This window comes from Homo sapiens, chromosome 16, assembly GCF_000001405.40.
Source record: "Homo sapiens chromosome 16, GRCh38.p14 Primary Assembly".
In the NCBI taxonomy this organism is placed as follows: Eukaryota; Metazoa; Chordata; class Mammalia; order Primates; family Hominidae; genus Homo; species Homo sapiens.
Window position 1 is genome coordinate 11,388,293 of NC_000016.10, and position 21,007 is coordinate 11,409,299.

At 55.7% G+C, this 21,007-nt stretch overlaps 1 protein-coding gene and 1 long non-coding RNA gene across 6 annotated transcripts in view, besides 1 other annotated feature; one reads left to right on the forward strand and one right to left on the reverse strand.

Annotated features, from left to right (window-relative positions):
- Positions 1–7,498, forward strand: part of LOC105371082 (uncharacterized) — a 146,190-nt gene extending 138,692 nt beyond the window's left edge. The window contains exon 3 of one of the 2 annotated variants that reach the window (XR_933075.3): positions 7,419–7,498. This is a non-coding gene — a long non-coding RNA (uncharacterized LOC105371082). Of the gene's footprint in view, positions 1–6,265; positions 7,072–7,418 lie in introns of those variants that run through there. The other variant, XR_933074.3, reaches the window with a different exon arrangement.
- The window catches only part of LOC400499 (putative uncharacterized protein), a 155,563-nt gene that overhangs the window by 16,278 nt on the left and 118,278 nt on the right, over positions 1–21,007 (reverse strand). For all 4 annotated transcript variants that reach the window (NM_001395505.1, NM_001370704.1, XM_017023946.1 and 1 more), the window contains 14 exons: positions 18,908–19,045; positions 16,412–16,574; positions 13,745–13,866; positions 12,974–13,114; positions 11,410–11,523; positions 11,180–11,308; positions 10,056–10,217; positions 8,219–8,383; positions 5,099–5,267; positions 4,025–4,209; positions 3,718–3,810; positions 3,374–3,569; positions 1,987–2,171; positions 1,813–1,910 (listed from right to left, as the gene is read on the reverse strand). In NM_001395505.1, coding sequence (NP_001382434.1) covers positions 1,813–1,910; positions 1,987–2,171; positions 3,374–3,569; positions 3,718–3,810; positions 4,025–4,209; positions 5,099–5,267; positions 8,219–8,383; positions 10,056–10,217; positions 11,180–11,308; positions 11,410–11,523; positions 12,974–13,114; positions 13,745–13,866; positions 16,412–16,574; positions 18,908–19,045 — 2,060 coding nt within the window. The remainder of the gene's footprint in view (positions 1–1,812; positions 1,911–1,986; positions 2,172–3,373; positions 3,570–3,717; positions 3,811–4,024; positions 4,210–5,098; positions 5,268–8,218; positions 8,384–10,055; positions 10,218–11,179; positions 11,309–11,409; positions 11,524–12,973; positions 13,115–13,744; positions 13,867–16,411; positions 16,575–18,907; positions 19,046–21,007) is intronic.
- Positions 1,575–2,329: an enhancer, noted in NCBI's record as "H3K4me1 hESC enhancer chr16:11483724-11484478 (GRCh37/hg19 assembly coordinates)". NCBI's record gives its function as "activates a minimal SCP1, AML or CMV promoter by ChIP-STARR-seq in naive and primed H9 embryonic stem cells {active_cell/tissue: H9 hESC(naive and primed)}" and the evidence as "EXISTENCE:reporter gene assay evidence [ECO:0000049][PMID:30033119]".

The following is a 21,007-nucleotide window of genomic DNA, read 5'->3' on the forward strand; positions in this document are numbered from 1 at the left end:
GGAGCTCTTCCCTTCATCAGCCTCCATTCTGACCGCAGGAAGGCAGGAGCAGGAACTTGTATCACAGGGAGTCTTTTCCCCATGATGTGGGTTTAGTCCCTATTTTATGGCTGGGGAAACTGAGGCACAGAGCACTGAGGCAGAGGAATCCTAGTTAGAGGCAGAGCCGGATTCCAGATGCTCTGTGAGGCCACCAGCATGGAAGAAGGAGCTGCCTCCCTGCTTGGAGCCCGGTTCCTGGTGGGCCTCGTGCCTGTGAGGGGGAGGATACTGGGTCCCCAGGTCTCTGCTCTAAACTGGGCTCCCCCCTTCTATCCACCACCCCCGTGTTCTCAACACAGGGGCCAAAAGGGTCTTTTAAAGTGAAAGGGCGATCACATCCTTCCTAGGTCAGAGCAGAAGCCAGAGACCAGCTGAGCCCCACCTACCCGCCTCCCCAGTCTTAGGAACTCCCAGTCACATCCACTCTCCCTTGCAGGCATTCTGCTCCAGCCCTGCTGGCTTGATATTCAAATAGACAGGGCTGGGCTTGGTGGCTCATGCCTATAATCCCAGCACTTTGAGAGGCCAAGTTGCTTGAGCTCAGGAGTCTGAGACCAGCCTGGCTAATATGGTGAAACCCCGTCTCTACTAAAAATACAAAAATTCGCTGGGCTTGGTGGCACATGCTTGTAATCCCAGCTACTTGAGAGGCTAAGGCAGGAGAATCCCTTGAACTTGGGAGGCAGAGGTTGCAGTGAGCTGAGATCACAGCATTGTACTCCAGCCTGGGCAACAAAGAACAAGACTCCATCTCAAAAACAAACAGGCCAGGCACATCCCTCTCCCAGGCCTTTGTGCAGTAGTGACCCCCACCTGGAGCGCTCTTACCACGCTGGCCCCGTGGCTCTTGCTGAAACTCTACCTTCTCCTCAAAGCCAGTCATGGCCACACCGTTTCATAGGATCCACCCCCCCATCTCACCGATGTTCCTTCTCTAGCATTTGCTACCTAACGTATAGCTCAGGGGTGGTAAATGGTGACCAGTGGGCCCCAGCCTGTGGCCAGCTTCTGCACGGCCTGCAAGTAAGAAGGGTTTTTGTGTGTTAAAAAGATTATTACAAAACAGGCCAGGTGCAGTGGCTCATGCCTCTAATCCCAACACTTTGGGAGGCCAAGGCAGGTGGATCACCTAAGGTCAGGAGTTTGAGACCAGCCTGGCCAACATGGCAGAACCCTGTCTCTACTAAAAATACAAAAAATTAGCTGGGTGGGATGGCACGCGCACCTGTAGTCCCAGCTACTAGGGAGGCTGAGGCAGGAGAATGACTTGAACTCAGGAAGTGAAGGTTTCAGTGAGCCAAGATTGCACCACTGTACTCTAGCCTGGGCAACAAGAGCAAAACTCCATCTCAAAAAAAAAAAAAAAAAAAAAAAAGATTACAAAACAAAAGCAAGGAAATGTGACAGAGCCGAATGGCCTGCTTAAGATGCGACTCTCAGGCCCTCTGCAGCGAGCTGTACCAGCCCCGGTGTAGATGACTTCCTTGTGCTTCGTGTCTGAGTAAAAGTGAGCTTCCTGAAGGCAGGGTCAGCCTCAGCCACTGCGCTCTCTGCAGCTCCTGAAATCCTGCCTACCCTCGGCCAGTGCTCACGAGGTATCTATGGAGTGAGGAAGAAAGCCCAGCTTCCTCATCTGTAAAACGAGGAGAGAAGAAGCCCCTGGGCAGGGTGGTCACAGGAGTCAGTGTGTCGGAAGGTGTCAAAGCATTCAGCACTGCACCTGGTATGTGGCAGGCACGCAGGATGCGCTACTCTCAAACCCCGAGTTACCTGGCCGACAGGCTGTACAGGTCCAGCAGTGGTTTGCAGAGCCTCTTCAGTGCCCGTGAGAACGTGGCCTCAGCCCAAGACAGCATCTGTTGGGCGGCCTGGAGAGGGAGGGGACAGTGAGAGCTGGCTCAGTCATCCTCACCTGCCAACTACGCCCCATCCTTGCTCACTCACCAGCTCCAGGGCTCCTTTCATGGCCCCCAGGGCCGCCCTGATGGGCCTTGGACCCCCTTTGCCTGGCATCCCGGGCACCCAGGCCTGCAGCCGCCGCATGGCCTCCTCTGCTCGCTCCCGCCACACCTCCTCCAGGGGCCGCAGTGTCACCTCCAGGTAGGCATCCTTCAGTGTGGCCAGGGGCCCTGCAACAGGCAGCCACCACCCACCATGAGACCTCAGGGCAGGTCAGAGAACCAGCCCTGCCCAGACACGCCAGGCCTCGAGGAGATAGGGCCTGTTCCTGGGATTAAGATGTGGGGAGCTGGGGGAACTGGAACAGAGCAGTGGCACTGGAGATTGCAGGGGAGTTGTCACAGCAGGCCTGAGCCGTCTCTGCAAGGCCTGCTTATAAGGTTGTCTGGGAACTTGGATTGGGGGAGGGTTCCCACCAGTCCTAGAATTGATATGAGGCTCCCTGCATCTGAACTGTTTGTACAAACGTGGTTTATGCCGGACCCCTGCTTGCTTCCTAGGAGTCTGACAGTGTGGTCCGTGCCAAGCAGCACCTGCCAGTGTGGCAGCCCCCAATAAAAACCCTGGGTGCTGAGTCTCCCAGGAGCTGCTCTGGTGACAGCTGGGACAGCTAAATGCATCCTGTGTGAAAGCGCTGGGACTGGGAGAGTACCCTGGGCACTGGCCCTGGTTCTCCCTAGACTCCGCCCCAGCCCCCTTCCCTGTGCTGACACTCCTGCATCCCCTCACTATAATAAATCACAGCTGTGAATAGCGCTGGGCGGAGTCCTGGCGCATTCCTCCTGATTCACTGCCCTGGGGGTGGTCACAGGAACACTCTGGCACAGCAGGGAGGATCGGGAGGTAACATTCAACAGCCAGTCAGAGGGATGCCCACCCTGGCGCTGGGCAGGGCCTTGGGGGCTCTGTGCTGTGCTGGGCATTAGCCCTGGATGGCGGAGAGGCCAGAGGTTCCCAGTCCTGCCACGAGGCTGGTTGGGGCAGCAGGTGTGAGCCTTTAATGACCACCTGGCCACATTGAGCTCATCGTGGAACCAGAAAGAGATGCTGTGGCAGTGAGCTTCACAGAAACAAGGCTGTATACTCAAAAGAAAGCAGGCGGGAGACTGAAAAAACCTAGGCAGCAGGCATAAGGGAGATGAGCTTGGAGACTCTGTAAAAATGACACAGCAGACCCAGAAAAAACAAAGGCTGTAGATCTATAACAAATAAGGCAGGGGGCTAAACACAGCTGGGCTACAGGCCCATGGGAAGCGAGGCCACATTTCTGATTGAAACAGTGCCACAGGCCAATGTGAGCGCTTAGGGCCCCGGTGGAGAGGGGGGACATTGATTTCCGCACAGGATTGAGCCCTCCCCCTCCCACACTTACATTCCAGCTCCTCCCGCAGCTGCTCCAGCCCCACCTGCAGCCACTCCAGGTAAAGAGGCAGGTGCTGGGTCAGTGCCTGGCTCCGGGCCCACAAAGTGGCTACTGCCCAACCACTCGCCTGCATGGCCTCCCGCCCCGCCTGGGACAGCTGCAGAAGGAGGCCTGCCACGCCGTCCAGGGTGCCTGCCGGCTGCACCTGGACAGGGAAACCGAGGCAGAATCAGGGTGAGGTCCAGGGCAGAGAGAGCCCCAGACCCTCCTGCCTGGTGAGTGGGGGCTACAAGCCAGGTCAGAGGGGGACCTCTCCAACCTGAGCCCCCACCCTCCCCTGCTGTGATACCCACCAATTGCTGGAACCTTCTCACAGAGGCACCCAAGCCTTGAACCTTCTCTTCCAGCCGGGCTTGCACCTGGGAGCCAACTGCTGCAATCCTGGACTGTGAGGACAGAGGAAGAGGCTGGGGCCTCGCAGGAATGAAGTAGACACAAGGTTCTCGGTGCCAGCAGCAGGTGTGGGCCTCACAATGGGGTTGTCTGCCCTGGTTTCTGGGCACAGCTGGACCCCAAGGGCTCGGGGCTCCTGGCACGGGGGCCTCTGCCCAGTGGGAGAACGGTAACCCCTTCCCTGTGTCCCAGCCCAGGCCCTCTCACCTCCACATGGCCCAGCAGGCCCCCCTGGCAGCCGCGCGCGGCCAGCAGGAGACTCTGGTTGGCAGCCTGCAGGGTCAGGCGTCCCAGCGGCTGGGAGGGCTGCCTGCCATCCCGGAACAGGACCTCCGCCTCGGCTGTCCGCCCATGGGCACATGCCCGCAGCACCACACTCTCCTCTCTGCCCCCTGGAGCCAGAAAGGGACCTGCTGGTGCCCCCACCATGTCTCTGGCTGCCCACTCCCCCTCCACCGCTTTCCGTAGCTCCCCACTGCCCCAGGCCAAGCCTCAAGGCCCTAGGATTTGAGAACCTTGAGCTGCACCACCTAGAGCAACCACCTGAGCCACCTGAAGCCCCCTCTTCTGTCCCCTCCCCCGACACGGCAGTCAGTTAGGGATGCCATAAGGCTTCAGGGGGTTTCCTGAGGTTTTTTTTTGAGACACCAAGGCAGGAGTACAGTGGCTGGATCACAGCTCACTCCCAGCAGCTGAGACCACAGGAACACATCACCCCCTACCCCACCAGGTTTTTTCGTTTTTGTTTTTGTTTTACTTTTTGAGACAGAGTCTCGCTCTGTCGCCTAGGCTGGTGTGTGGTGACACGATCTCGGCTCACTGCAAGCTCCGCTTCCCGGGTTCACGCCATTCTCCTGCCTCAGCCTCCTGAGTAGCTGGGAACTACAGGCACCCGCTACTGTGCCCGGCTACTTTTTTCTATTTTTAGTAGAGATGGGGTTTCACCGTGTTAGCCAGGATGGTCTCGATCTCCTGACCTTGTGATCCACCCACCTCGGCCTCCCAAAGTGCTGGGATTACAGGTGTGAGCCACCACGCCTGGCCACCCCCCCCCCTTTTTTTTAAGTAGAGACGGGGTCTCACTATGTTGCCCAGGCTGGTCCTGAACTCCTGAGCTCAAGCAATTCACCCATCTCGGCCTCCCAAAGTGCTAGGATTACAGGTATGAGCCCCTGCACCCAGCCCCGACTTCTGAAATCTTAACGCCCAGACCCCCGTCCTTTCTTGAGCCAACAGGGGCCGTGGCCCAGCTAGCTGAGCTGGGACCCAGCTGCCACTCACCCTCCTCATGGGCCACAGAGGCCTGCAGACAGCTTGGGGCCCGGAACACAGACAGCCTCACTTTCTCCTCTCTGTTGTCCACGCTTCCCTCCAACCGGACCAGGCTTTGAGAAGTCGAGGTGGAGACACGGCCCAGTAGGCCAACCCGCTGAGCCTTGGAGCCACGAAGCTGGGAGGGGGAAGGCAGAGGCCTGAGTGGAGCCTGGCCCACCTGTCCCTGGTCTCTCCCCTGCCCGCCCCAGGCTCAGGAAGAGGCTGGCTGGGGAGGCTGCTGTTGGACCTGTAGGGAACCAAGGGAAGGCACAATGCCCACGCCCGATCTCCAGGGCACCAGGTTCCCCACGCCATATCCCTGTCTAAGGCTGCCAGTGCCCCATTACAGAAAGCACTTTTGAAAATACTCCGGGCCAGGATCAAGGGCTCACTCCTATAATCCCAGCACTTCAGGAGGCCAAGACGGGTGGATCGCTTGAGCCCAGGAGTTTCAGACTAGCCTGGACCACATGGCAAAAACCCTGTCTCTACCAAAAATACAAAACTTAGCCAGTCTCATGACAAATACTTTTTTTAATTTTTAAAAATACCCATCTAGGAGCCCAACCCAGCAGCAGCCGCCCACAGGGTGGCTTAGAGATGGCTGCTGCCCAGGCCCCACCCAGACACTCTGATTTAATTGGTGTTGGGGGCCCCGGGCCCTGGCATTTCTAACATCCCCAGTGCCCTGGTGTTTCTGCTACAGCCCAGGCTTTCCGAGTTTGCATGGGAACCACTGCAAAGGTCTAAGCAAGGAGACACGGGCACACCTGGCATAACACCCCAGGCACTGGGCAGCTTACCTAAGTCCCTGCAGGTGCCCAGCCTTGGGGGCACGGCAGGGACCAGGACAGGCGAGTCTAGAATGGGGTGGGAAAGAGGCTCAGAGGCCCCCAAGAGAACACAAGCCCGGAGGAGGCCCTGCAGGGGAGGGAGCCTCAGCTACCCTGTATTCTAGTCCAGACACTGCAGCTAACAAGCTGTGCACCCTTCAGTAAGGGTGTCACCCTCTCTGGGCCTCAGCTCCAAGATCTGTAAAATGATACAGAACAATGGTTCACAAAACTTAACAGGACTTAAGAGTGTGTGTGCGCGTGCACGTATGTCTGTTAAGGGTTGAATTTTGTTCCTCAGATAGGTTGAAGCCCTAACCTTCTATACCTGTGAACGTGGTGTTATTCGGAAATAGGTTTTTTGCAAAAGTAATCAAGTTGAGGCCATAGTGGATGAAGGTAGGCCACACACCCAATGAATGCTGTCCCTGTGAGAAGACCATGTGAAGATGCCACCCAGAAGGCAGAAGGCCACCACGTGGGACAGAGGCAGAGACTGGTGTGATGCCACCACAGCCGTGGGTCCTGGCAACCACCAGAAGCTGGAGGTGCTACAGAAGGATCTTCCCTAGGACTTTGAGAGGGAGTGTGGCCCTGCTGACAACTTGCTTTTGGACTTCTGGCCTCTAGAACTGTGACACCATACCTGTCTGTTGCATTAAGCCTTCCAGTTGGTGGCAATTTAATACAGTAGTCCTAGGAATCGAATGCAGGGTGCTTACTAAACATGCAGAAGCATGTCGATCTCTGAGGAGATCCAAGTTGGTAATAGGGCTACAGCCCAGGACTCCTGTGGAATTTAACCAAGCACAATGTGATCTTGCCAGGCAGGTGGGGGCAGGGGACGGTCTGCAGACCACACGGAGTTGGCCCTGGATGGCTCCCAGCATCTGAGCTCAGCCCCGCTGGGTGTCACTGAAGAGCAAGGGCCATGCCTGCCTCTGTGTAGCCTGGGTGAATGCCTGACCTCCCTGAATCTGTCCCTCATCTGTCCTGGGGCCACTGGGTTGGGGTGAGCAAGAAACAAGGCTGGGAAAGCCTTCTGACCACTCCACAGACCCCAGAATGGACCAAGTGAGAATAGCTGTCCCAAATAAATCGGGGATAGGGAAGCAAGAGGACCAGCCTCTTGCCGAGCATCCGCCATGGGTTCACTCCCAGGGCTCCAGTTCCATCAGGCACGGGGCTTACAGAGCCGGGGGCAGGCAGGGGCCTGGCTGGAAACGGGGAAGTGACAGTCAGTCCCGGAGAACAAGAACCTTGGAAGGAGAAACTCCTTTGAAATGGCCACGGCTGCTGAACTCTCAACCCAGAAATGCCATCCTCATTCAGCTCGGATGCCGGGAAGGGAGGGAACTCCCCTCTCACAAGCACCTGCTACATGCAGATGTTGTACAAATGTGTTTGCTCCTAACCATTCTGCAAGGGAGATGGTATTTGTTCCCATTTGACAGAGGGGAAGACTGAGGCTCAGCAAACGAAAGTCACGAGGCCAAGTTCACCTGGCCAGGGAGACAGAGGAGGTGGATGGAAACGCCGAGAGAGCACCTGCTACGTCACGTGCCTTGGCTACGCAGGCAGCGGGAACCGGTATCCAGACTCCCAAAAACCACCCTGTGAAATATCTGATCCCCTCCTACAGATGAGGAAACACATGCTCAGAGAGGTTCCTTCCTGGGATCACCTGGCCAGGTCAGGGCAGAGTAGGTATTGGAGGCCAACTCTGCCCCTTCCTACTTCCCAGGGCTGCTGGGAGTAAGGAGGGGGAGGAGATGGTACCAGTAATGGCTAATAGCAAATACTTACGTAGTGGCTGTTTTCTCTCAGGCACTGCTCTAAGCGATCTATGCCTACGACTATATTTAACCCTTGCAATATTAACCCCATGGGAGATAGGGCCAGTACAATTATACCCATTTTACAGGGGAGGAAACTCAGGTACCAGGAGGCAGCTAGGCTGGGATTCAAACTTGGGCAGCCCAGCCACTGCCTCTCTGTTATAGGAAGGGCCGGGTGTTGGGACTGTGGAGGAGCTGCCTTGTCTTGGCGCCAGGGCCAGGCCTGGGGTTCAGCAGGCGTTCCCCCGACCCAGAATGAAGCTCTGGCCCCATCCAGAATGCTGGTTTGCAGTTCCTCAGATAGCCACTAGATGGCGGGGCCGCCCAGGCAGTTGGGGGCCTGCTGGCCAGGGAGGAACCGCAGGGATGCCGGGATATCTTTCCCAGGGACTGTCAGCCCCATCCTGGCCACTGACCTCCAGTGCCCCGGAGAAGTCAGCTGAACGAGGCCTGCTGTGGTTTTGGAGGGTCAGGCTGAGATGCAGGCCGTGGTCTGGGTCTGGTGCAAGGCCCAGGTGGCAGCGGGAACGCAGCAGGAGTCCACCCTGGCCCAGGGTGTGCTCCCCGACGACCAAGAGGGCCTGGGACGAGAGAGTCTAGGTGTCAGGCAGGCACAGGGGTGGCAGCTTCCTCTCTCCCCAGTCCCCTGCACCGAGAATGCAGCAGCAGCTGCCACCTCCCAGCCTCCACACCTGTCGCAGCTCACAGCTGACCTCTAAGAAACGCAAATCAGATGCCGTCCCCTAAGAAGCTGGGCTCTGGCATGGCCCGTGGCCTGCTTTGTTGTCCCAACCTCACTTCCCTTGCTCCCTCCGTAAGTGCTGCCCCGTGTTCCTCAAGGCAGAGTTGTGCCTTAGGCCCCTTCCCTCTGCAGGGCTCACACTCACCAGTGAGGCCCCTTTTTGCAACACCCTGGCCCCTCTCTGCTTCATTCCTGCACAACGTTTACTACACCCTGACCATAGACCATGCATCTCTAGTTTGTTGTATCGTCCTGGCCCCACTGGAATGCGCCACCCAGGAGGCCGGCACCTAGGCTGTGTCTTTCACATCCACTCCCTGCACCTAGAACACAGCCTGGCATAGGTGAAACACACAAATGTTTTCTGAATGAACAGAGGAAAAGATAAGGGGTGGGAAACTATGGTTTGGGGCCGAATCTGGCTCACTGCCCACTCTTGTAAATGCTTTTTATTTTGAGACAGAGTTATGCTCTGTCGCCAGGCTGGAGTACAATGGCACGATCTCAGCTCACTGCAACCTCCGCCTCCCAGGTTCAAGCGATTCTCCTACCTCAGCCTCCTGAGTAGCTAGGACTACAGGCACGTGCCACCGTGCCCAGCTCATTTTTTCTATTTTTAGTAGAGAAGAGGTTTCACCATGTTAGCCAGGATGGTCTCGATCTCCTGACCTCGTGATCTGCCTGCATCGGCCTCCCAAAGTGGTGGGATTACAGGCGTGAGCCACCGCACCCGGCTTGTAAATACTTTTACTGGAATACAGCCGTAAGGATTCATTTACATATTGTCTATAGCTGCTTTCACAAGACAGTGGTAAAGTTGGTTGTTGGAACAGAGACTGGATGGTTCATAAAGCCTAAAATATATGCTATCTGTCTCTTTACAGAAGAGTATGAGTCCTTGGGATGGAGGGAGGGAGGGATGGAGGGAGGGAGGGATGGAGGGAGGGAGGGAGGGAGGGAGGGATGGACGGACGGATGAATGGATGCAAGGGAGGAACGGTTGGAGGATGAATGGATGGAGAGAGAGGGTACATGGGAGGGCAGATATACGGGGATGGATGGAAGATAGGAAGGAGGATGGAAGGATGCGTAAAGGAATGGATGGATGGGTTGGTGGATGGAAGAACCAATCAACCAGCTACCAACCCCAGGAGGGGAAAGGGGTTGAGGAAAAGGAGTCCTAACACCTCTCCTCTGGGGTAATGATGACTACAGCAGCTCTAACTCATGTGCCCGGCACCAAGGCTGAGCATTCCCGCATCATGTCTCTCTTAAGTCTCACCATCACTCTACGTCCTGGAACCTGCTGCTCCTTCCTCAGATGAAACACCAGAGGCTCAGAGAGGAGATGTGCACTGCCCAGTCACCCAGCAGGCAAATGGCAGAGCCACGATGGTGGCGTCTGGCTGCCTCGCTCACACCCCTGCATTCTGCGGGCACCACCCTCACTGCTGCCCCCTCACCATGGGTCCCTGGTCCTCCAGCTGCCCCCTTCTGCAGGGCAGACTCACCCTGGGCAGGTCACAGAGCCCCAGGTGGAGGGAGTGCCGCAGCCAGCGTGCATAGTCAGTCTGTACTTCTCCCCAGAAGCTCTGACGGGTACAAGAGGCCCCGAGGACGTGCTCCAGCGTGGCCTCCATGATGATCTTGTCTGGCTGAGATGGCCAATGCCTCTGGAATGAGAGGGCCTATGGGTCAGGGGCTCATCACCTAAGAGAATGCCCATGGCCAGCTGCAGTTGGAGACCCTCACCTAGGCAAGAGCATGTGCCAGGAATGTGCCGTCAGAGCTCTCATCAGCCACAGCACCCCCTTACACTCTGCGGCAGGATTTTTTTTTTTTTGAGACACTCTTGCTCTATAGCCCAGGCTGGAGTACAGTGGCATGATCTAGACTCACTGCAACCTCTACCTCCCAGGTTCAAGCGATTCTCCCACCTCAGCCTCCCAAATAGCTAGGATTACAGGTGCATGCCACCACGCCCAGTTTTTTTTTTAATTCTTTAGTAGAGATGGGGTTTCGCCATGTTGGCCAGGCGATCAGGTGATCCCCCCACCTCAGCCTTCCAAAGTGCTGGGATTACAGGTGTGATTCGCCATGCCCCGCTCGTGGCAGGATTTCTGCTGTGAGCACTTAGGGGGCCATGCCTAAGAGCCCCAGGAACCCAGGCGGGAGGTCCAGAGGAGGAAGGGGCTTCCAGGGCCAGCTCTCCCCATTTCTCCATGGCCTGGTTCCTGCCCCAAGCTCTGCAGAACAGTGCTCGGCCCCATGAGGAGCCCTATCAGGTAATGATGCTGGAGGAGACCAGACCTGATGCCTCGGGGAACCGGAGCTCCCGATCTCCCTCCGCCCCCTCCCGAGAAGCCCCCTAGCATCCCACCTTCTTCCCCATCTGTTCCCAGCATCTCGGGCCGTTCCCCTTGCTTTTCTTGTCTTCCAGAGCCCTCACCACATCCCAGTTAGGAAGGGAACCATTTCACAGATGAGAACACTAAGGCTCACAGCAGAGAAGTAAGTTGCCCAGGATCCCGCAAGCACTGGAACCCAGGACCACGTGGCCCCAGAGCTGGACGCTCCTGTGGCAGGTGGAGCCGCCTGGGGGTTCCCTGCCCAGACGCTGCTCCCCTGACCTCACCTCGTAGGTCAAGTTCTGCCGCATGCGGTGCTGGCCCCAGGACACGTTGAGCTGTTCAACGAACACAGCTGGGGTCTGCGTGAAGGCCCCGCAGGCCTGGAGGCTGTTCAGGCCCCAGGTTTCCTGGAGCTGATAGGGAAGAGAATAGGGTACATGACCTGGGGGGCCAGCTGAGAAGCCTGGAGCGAGGGGGACCCCCTCACTCGGTGCAGCGGTCAGGCCCCACATACCTGCCCCGGGGAGGCGGCCAGGCAGCCGTCCCAGGCGGTGCTGTGTGCTAAGGACCCGTCAGCCCAGGTGAGCTGCAGCGTCGCAGGTTGTCCTCTGTTCCAGGTGAGCTGCACCTGCATTGGGATGGGAGGGCAGTGGTGGGGAAAGGGGGACATGTAGGGGAGAGGAGAGGTTAACGGTGTCCCCACAGCCATCTCTGTTGGGAAATGAGAGGCTAGGGAGGATGGAGAAGCTGGTGCCCCTCCCCCAGATATCCCTAGAGGAACTAGGATGGAGGGTGGAGAGACTGCCCTGCCTACCCCCATCTCTGGAAGAGCTCAGAGCCATTCCCAGGCTGGAGACTGAAAGCATTTAAATGAAAAAAAAAAAAAGCCTCATCCCCAACACCCAGACTCAGCATTTCCAAAGACAGAAAGCAACCGTGCTCCTCACTGGGGCCTCCAGGGCCAGCATGATCTGTCCCTGCCCATCTGACCTCATCTCCCTGTCACCCATCCCTCCCAGTCACTCTGTTCCCATCTTATTTCCCTTCCAGCCCTCCCCAAAGCACCCGGCTCATTCCCACCACAGGGCCTTTGCACGGGCTTTTCCTGTTGCCTGCAGTGCTGCTCCTCCAGCTTCTCTCAAGCCCGGCTCCTTCCCATCCCGGGGCCGCCTCCCCCATGAGGCTCTCACTGACCACCCACCTTACAGTTGCTGCCCCACCCACCCACCCAGTCACGCTCAGTCTCACATCTTTTTTTTTTCTTTTTTTCTTCTGAGACTGTCTCACTCTGTTACCAGGCTGGAGTGCAGTGGCGTGATCTTGGCTCACTGCAACCTCCACCTCCAGGGCTCAAACGATCCTCCCGCCTCAGCCTCCCAAGCAGTTGGGATTGCAGGCACACACCACCACACCCAGCTAATTTTTATATTTTTAGTAGAGACAGGATTTCGCCATGTTGGCCAGGCTGGTCTCAAATTCTTGGCCTCAAGTGATCCACTGGCCTCGGCCTCCCTCAGTGCTGGGATTACAGGCATGAGCCACCACGTCCGGCCCCTCTTTACTACTTTACAGTGCTTATCATATCACACCTTCTGATTTTTTAATTCATTCCTTGGCTTGAATTCTGGAGAGCGTCTTTTGCCTGCACACAGCTGGCCTGTTGTCCTCCCTTTCATAGATGGGAAAACCTGAGTCTCAGAGAGGCGATAGGACACACCCGAGGCCCCCCAGCCAGACAGGGAGCCCAGCTGCCTCACTCAGTCCCCAAAGCTACCACTAAACAAGCAACTATAAATGATCAATCAGAGACGCCTGTACCTGTTTCCCACATTAAAATGTGAGCTATCTTCAAACACCGCCTGGTATACAGTAGGTGCTCAATGAGGTATTGATAAAGGAATGATTGAATGAAGGATCCCAGAGATCCCCAGGCTTCAGGAAGCTGTGATTCCGGAGAAGTCTTTGTCACTGATGAACACACTCTCCTTCTCCTACCAGAGGTGCCCAGCCCCACAGGCTCAGTCACGCGGCTCCCACCTCCAGCCCCGGCCAAGGGCGCCTGGGACATCCTCACTCACCTGCCGGCTCTGCCTGCCACCCCTGCTCTCAGCAAGGCCACTGGCCTCGGCTTGCCGCCAAGGGAGGTTGAATGGGTGAGCCAGGGCCAGGCGGGCGGCCAGCTCACTCTTCCCCAGCCACAGGGAGGAGGAGACCAGCACCTAGGGAGGGAGACAGACTCAGCCAGTGGCCTTGCCCAGACAGACTGCACCTCTTTCCCACCCGCACAGACCACCTTCTCCATCGAGGTCAAGGCTGCAAAAGGGCAGGTGGCTTTCAGCACAAAACCCCATCCCTGTGCAAGGCCCTCGGAGAGCTCAGTCCATTTCACAGAGGAGGAAATCCAGGCTTAGAGAGGAGCAGATGGAGCGAACACAGGACAGAGATGGGACTGGAGGTCGCGCTCCTCCTCCACTGTCTTCCCTTAGCTCTGTGGCCCCGGGCAGGTCACTGCACCTCTAAGTGCTTCAATTTCGTCATCTGAACACGGGCCCATTAATAGCGCCGAGCAGATGGGAGGCTGATGTGTGGCTTCACGCACAGAACCTATCACGGGGTAAGCATTCAGGGCCTGTGAGCCACCGTCACTGCCGTGGCTGTCAAGGTGTTGTGGGGACCCAGGTCTCCTGCTGCCCCCCCAGTGCCTTTCCCACAGTCCCTTGGGGATGTGGTACAGCCTCATTGACCCCAGATAAGGCTCCTCAGGCAGGGGAGGGCCCCAAAGACCCCGCTCAGCCTGCAGGGTGGAGTTCAGCTCTGCCCCAGGGTCACCTTCCGGCCCTGACACTTACCTGGTCCCTGCCATCCCAGCCGACAACCAGGCCATCCCGGTGGCTGCCTCCCAAATGCTCTGAGGACAGGCGGAGGCTGCAGTGTCGCGGCAGGGGGAGGGGCAGCGGGTGGGTGAGCTCCACTGGGTGGGTGAGGACACACACAAAGGGTAGGGCACGTGAGCTGAGGTCAGCAGCTCCAGGCCCAAGGGGGTTCAGGGGACTCAACTGACGCCACTGCCAGCTCACGCAAATGGCCACTCGGGGGCCACACAGCCAGATAATTTTCACAAAACTCAGAAGCTACACACTCGCTTTGTCACCATTACCACTCGACACCCTGCACTGTCCCTGTGGGAGCCCCGTTACAATGAGACTCTGAGGCTCCTCCAAGAGGTGGCGTCTGCCTCCCCAGCCCTTGAAGCTGGGCTGGCCTCGTGACGTGCTAATAAAATTCAGCAAAGTTGACCGAGTGCCAGTTCTAAGCCCAGGCCTTAGGAGGCCTCACCCCGCTTCCTCCCTTGAACCCCTGTCCAGCCACATGAGAACAAACCCTGCTGGCCTGTGGGCTGGTGCCACGTGGGGTTGGGGAGAGCCTGCTTTCAGCTCAGGATGTCCTAGCGCAGCTGACAGCTAGCCAGCCCCTGAGCAGGCTGGAGAGCCCAGCCAAGGCCAGCGGAGCCGCCCGCTCACCCTACAGCTGACCTTGAACATGAGGAAGACCAGAAAAGCTGCCCAGGTGACCCACAGCCTCGTGAGCAAGGCGCCACGCTTGCTTTATGCCGCTGAGTTTCGGAATACTTTGTTACCATCCTGAATCAGGAGCTGATGGGGGCAGCCGCAACCTCAACAACCTGCATCCCTCTCGGGGGCCTCACATGCACAGGTGCCCTGTGCCCCCTCGGAAGCCCCACACCCCATGCCACCGTCTGCTGTCCTGTGCTCTCCTTCCATCTTGGATGTGACAGGTGACACCCCATAGCTGAGTCCTCGCAACAACAGATGGCCTCCACACCCCGGGTTTTCTTCCTCTGTCCCCCAGGTGAGTCAAGCTGACCTGACCTCCGACATCACTTGACCCCATCTCCTGAGGCCCCTGAGCAGCCCTGCTTTCCCAGACCCCACAGCAGGAGGCTGCCCGAGGCCCCTGTGCACGCTGGTGACCTGTGAGCTCTGTACAAAGGGCACCCACCTGTTCAGATGGGCTGCAGGAGCCGTGCCCAGAGACACTGGCACTGGCTGGTTCTCAGGGCATCACCCAGTCATTGGTTCTGGGGAGGCTGACCACATGCAGGGCTAGAACCCTTTGTTCCTGCCACCCGCTGACCCCACCTGCAACACTGTCAACACCGTGTGGGGCTGCAGACTGTGTAGCTCACCAAGGGTGGCACAAATACACACACACACAGGCATGCACACACGTGCATGTATACACACACATGCACACATACACACATGAGCACACATACACTCATGAGCACACACATACACGCATGCACACTGCCTTGGCTTGCTGGGGACCTGCTCACTTCCTCTGCCTTCCAGGGCACACATGTGGCAAATGTGACGCTGGGAGGATTCCATCAGGCCACCTGGTAAGCCGTGCCTCCAGGCTGGGGTCTGCACTCTGTCTCCACACCTGGCAGGCTGTGGGTCGGGCTCTGCTCTGTGCTCAGGAGGTTCCTTACACAGAAACTAAGTCTTGTGGCTGCCCAGGCCACAAATTACAGCCCCTTCCAGGGATGCCTGTTTCTGGAGGACCCAGGGGCTCATGGCTGCTGTTGTTGGCGCTGTGTCGGCACTCAGCTCCCCTGGCACCACAACTGCCCAGGGATGCCACCTCTTCCACGCCCTGGCCCCTTCTCCCTGCCCGGCTGCACTCAGGATAAGCCCCAGCTCCTCTCTATGAGCTGAGACGCTGCATGACCTGGGTCCCCCAGCCCTCCTGCCTCGCCTCATCCCTTCTCCCCATTCCAGCCATGCTAGCCCCGCAGCTGCTGCTCCACATGCAAACCTCATTTCCAAGTGGGGCCTTCCGCCTGAAGTGCCTCTGCTCAGATCTGCCAGCTCCTTCTCATCCTTCAGAACTCAGTTCAGAAGTCACCTCCTCCAAGAGGCCTTCCCAGACCACCCCACCTAAAGGAGGCCCACACCCCACAAAGACCCTGCTTGCTCTCACAGCCTTTCCCACTCGTGGAAATGGTCATGCTTGACGTTATTTTGCTTATGTGCATCTTGTTGCTCAATGCCTGTCTCCCTGAGGGGTGACACCTGGGCCATCTTGCTTCCTGATGGACCCCTGGTGCCTAGATTACACCTGGGATATGCAGGTGCTCAGTCATGGCTTTTTTGAGACCGAGTCTCACTCTCGCTCAGGCTGGAATGCACTGGCTCAATCTCGGCTCTCTGCAACCTCTGCCTCCCAGGTTCAAGCGATTCTCCTGCCTCAGCCTCCCAAGTAGCTGAGATTGTAGGTGCCTGCCACCATGCCTGGCTAATTTTTGTATTTTTAGTAGAGATGGGGTTTCACCATGTTGGCCAGGCTGGTCTCAAACTCCTGACCTCGAGTGATCTACCCACCTCGGCCTCCCAAAGGGCTTGGATTACAGGCATGAGCCACCGCGCCTGGCCAGGGATGATTTCTTGAGTGACTGGGCCACCCCTGCCTGCAGCCCCTCACACACTCACCCTGCAGGCTGAGGTTCCTGGTGGGCTTGGGGAAAGGCCCAGAAAGGCTCCCGGTGAGGGCCACCTCCTGGCCATCCCACAGCACCACCTGGCGCAGGACACGGGTCCCATGAGCTCGCTCGTATGCGGTCTGCAGGAACAGCTCCCTGGGAAGAGCGCTGAGCTGGAAGAGAATGACGGCGTCATGGGGGAACCCGACCCATGCTTCTGCCTGGGATGGGAAAGAAGAGAAGCTTGCAGAGGAGGAAAAAGGGAATATTTGTGGATCATTTACAGTTTCCTGAATGGTGACATATGTCAGGGGATCAAAAACCCAAATGCTTCCTAAGGATGAGCAGATAATTTAAAGGAGAGGAGTAGGTGAGGGGAGTATGGCCAACAGGAGACAGCACAGAACAGCCACTTCTCAATTCCATGGCCAAGCTGTGTGGCTCTGGGCATTTTTCAACCTCTCTGAGCCTCAGTTTCCTAGAAAATGGAGGCCAGAAAGTGTCAACCTTTGCAAGATGATACAAGTGGTGCACTCAGCCCAGGGCTACACGGTGGAGAGGAGCTTGTAGGAGGCACGCAGTTGGTATTGCGGTTTCTCAATCATGTAGCGAGCAGGTATCATGCTCCCAAGCCAGTGCTGAGTGCCTGGGTACAAAGCTAGCCAAGACCTGGTCCTGGCCCTTAAGGGGCTCCCAGGGAGATAGTCGAGATAGTCACAGGACAGAAAATGATGGGATAAGGTGACAAGGATGGTCACAAGAGACATTCAAGGGAGAAAGGAACGCAGAGAAGCAAGCTTGGGGAGGAGGCAGGGAAGAGCATTCTAGGCAGATGGAAGAGCCTGTGCAAAGGTTCGGAGAGGGACGCCGTCCCTGCTGGTGGGTGCCACAGTCCGAGGGTGACTTGAGGGCACTGCAGGGGGACTGCTGGGGTGGGGAAGGAAGTTTGCTCTTAAACGTCTCTAAAACCTATCACTACTGCCCCCAGCTTGGTCCACGCATTATTATTGCCCTGCCCCTGCCCATTATGGGGCTTCCTCACTGCTCACTTCTGCCACCTGTAGGTCCCTCCCCACACAGCAGCCAGAGGGATCTGAAATCATCATTTATTTGATCATGGCTTCAAAGGCTTCTAGTAGCAGATAGAACACAATGCAAACGCCTCCCTGTGGCCTGACTGACCCTGTGTGATCAGACCACCTCCTACCATTCCCCACCCACCCAGCTCCAGCCCAGTGGCTCCTTGGCCATTCCTAAAACATGCAAACCCATCCCTGCCCCAGGCCCTTTGCATGTCTTGTTCCCTCTGCCTGGAATACTCTTTTTAAAAAATGTATTTTAGATTGAGGGGGTCAGTGTGCATGTTTGTTACATAGGTATATTGTGTAATGGTGGGGACTGGGCTTCCAGCGTCCCTGTCACCCAAATATCGAACATCATACCAGGCAGGTAATTTTCCAACCCTTGGCTCCCTCTCACCCTCCTCCCTTTTGGAGCCCTCAGTGTTTACTGTTTCCATCTTTATGTCCATGTGTATTCAATGTTTAGCTCCTGCTTACAAGTGAGAACATGTGATACTGGGTTTTCTGTTTCTGAGCTAGTTCACTTAGGATAATTGCATCCCTGCTGCTGCAAAGGACAGAATTTCATTCTTTTTTCCGGCTGTGTAATATTCCATGGTGTATATATACCACAGTCTCTTTACCTGCCTCGAATGCCCCTCCCCCAGAGATTTCTTTTTTCTTTTCTTCCTTTTGAGATGGAGTTTCACTCTTGTCACCCAGGCCGCAGTGCAACGGCGCAATCTCGGCTCACTGCAACCTCCACATCCTGGGTTCAAGCAATTCTCCTGCCTCAGCCTCCAAAGTAGCTGGGATTATAGGCATGTGCCACCACGCCTGGCTAATTCCATATTTTTAGTAGAGACGGGGTTTCCCCATGTTGGCCGTGCTGGTCTCGAACTCCTCACCTCAGGTCATCCACCCGCCTCGGCCTCCCAAAGTGCTGGGATTACAGGCGCGAGCCACCGTGCCCGGCCTTCCCCCGGATTTTCAAATGGCTGGTGCTTATCATCCACCGCTAGCTCATGTGTCGTCTCTTCAGTGGGGCCTTTCCTGGCCACCTAATCTAAATAAGCTCCTTGGTCACTCTCAGTCACTTCAGTACGTTTTCTCCGTATCATAGTACTATCTGGCATATTTCGTTTGTGTGATTTCGGGGAGTCAATCTCCCCCGCTAGAGTGGACACTTGATGAGAGGAAGGATTGATCAGATCTGTTTTAGGTCACGCCCCAGCTTCTGAAATAGTGCCTGGCACCTAGTAGATGCTCCATAAATCATGCAATAAATCCAGCTCAATAAATCCAGCACATTGTGTCCATTTCACAGCCTTGTCTGTCCTTCCGCCCAGGAACCGGGACACTAGGACAATTTTTCTTTTCTCAAAGGGCTGTCCCAGAGGCCCCCCACCCCAGCGTGCTCCGGCCCTGGGCTGACCTCCACACACCTGCAGAAAGGTCTGTTCCAGTTTGATGAAATTGTTGAGACCGGCCTTAGCAGCTACCTGCCGGGTGCTGATGTGAAAATGACGCTCCTCCACGCCCAAGGCGAACATGCTCTGAACCTCACCCTTGGAGTAGTGTAGCTGGGTCAGAAAAAAAAAAAACCACCACAAAACACGATAAAGCTCCTCATCAGGGCTCTGATGGAACATTCCAGGAGATGCTGGCTGTAGGCCGAGGGCTCTGCCTCCCAAAGTCCCAGGCCCAAGAGACCCACAACTCCCTGGGCTGGATGAAGTTTGATGATGCGAGGGTTTGGAGCCTCAGGTTAGGCCATCAAGCGTGGCCATGGCAACTATCTCCTTCATGCCCTCCCTGCTATAACATTGACTTGAAAATATCTACCAGCCTGGCACCAGCAGCCAAGAATTCTAGTTGTAGTACTGTTGCAGACAGCAGGGGGCAGTCTAGCAGAAAGAATTATGCCTGGGTGCGTGTCAGCATCAAACACAACAGAACTCCAAGTGTGGATCTACCACTGAGAGGTGAGTGATCTCCAGCTAGTTCCTTAACCACCCAAGCCTTCTAATCCAAAAACAGGGATAAGGACACCTATTTTATTACGGGTTGCTGCGAAAATTGTATGAAATAATGTGCTAACTTCCAGGTTGGCTGAAAAGCAGAATCACTGCGGGGGAACTTATTAAAAATACAGATTCTGGGCTCCCACTTAAAACCTACAAAAATGGAGTCTCTGGGAAGATGTTCCAGAGCTGTTTTTTTTTTTTTTTTTTTTTTTTTTTGAGAAGGAGTCTTGCTCTGTTGCCCAGGCTGCTGAAGTGCAGTGGCACGATCTCGGCTCACTGCAACCTCTGCCTCCTGGGTTCAAGTGATTCTTCTGCCTCAGCCTCCTGAGTAACCAAGATTACAGGCATGTACCACCACACCCAACTAATTTTTGTATTTTTAGTAGAGATGGGGTTTCGCCATGTTGGCCAGGCCAGTCTCGAACTCCTGACCTCAGGTGACCTGCCCACCTCGGCCTCCCAAAGTGCTGGATTACGGGTGTGAGCTACCGCACCCAGCCAAGAGCTGGTATTTTTAACGCGCTCACTAGAGGCGTCATTTCGTTAGTGATACCCCTTGTCAAAAATGTTCAGCCTGAATCTTATCTTCAAGAAACAATCGGACAAATCCACATTAGGAGGATGTTTTGCAAAATAACTTCCTGGACACTTCAAAATTGTCAGTGCAGGATTTTTTTTTTTTTTTTTTTTTAGACAGAGACAGGGTCTGTCTGCTCTGTCATCCAGGCTAGAGTGTGCAGTGGTGTGAACACAGCTTACTGCAGCCTCAACCTCCTGGGCTCAAGCAATTCTTCCATACCTCAGCCTCCCTGGTAGCTGAGATACAGGTACACACCACCATGCCTGGCTGATTTTTAAATTTTCTGTAGCAATGGGGTCTCCCTAGGTTGCAGGCTGTTTTGAACTCCTGAACTCTAACAATTCTCCTTCCTTGGCCTCCCAAAGTGTTGTGATTATGAGTGTGAACCACTGCATCCAGTTGGGACTTTTCTGAAGGTGGTTAATGACAATAAAATGTTTAGGGGGAATTATATCTGCAACTTACTTTGAAATGTATCCAAAAATAAGATGGATGGATAGAGAGCTATGTGATTATGTGAAATAAAATGTAAACAGGAAAATCTAGTATGTGGGTATGCACTGTAAAATTACTTCAATTTTTTAGTGTCTAAAAAATTGTATAATAAAATGTTGGGGGGCCAGATGCAGTGACTCATGCCTGTAATCCCAGCACTTTGGGAGGCTGAGGTGGGCAGATCATTTGAGGTCAGGAGTTCAAGACCAGCCCGGCCAACGTGGCGAAACCCCATCTCTACCAAAAATACAAAAATTAGCCAGGCATGGTAGTGCATGCCTGTAATCCCAGCTACTCAGGAGGCTGAGGCAGGAGAATTGCATAAGCCCAGGTGGCGGAGGTTGCGGTGAGTCGAGATCACGCCTCTGCACTCCAGCGTGGGTGACAGAGTGAAACTTCATCTCAAAAAAAGAAAAAATAAATAAAAAAATAAAAAAATAAAA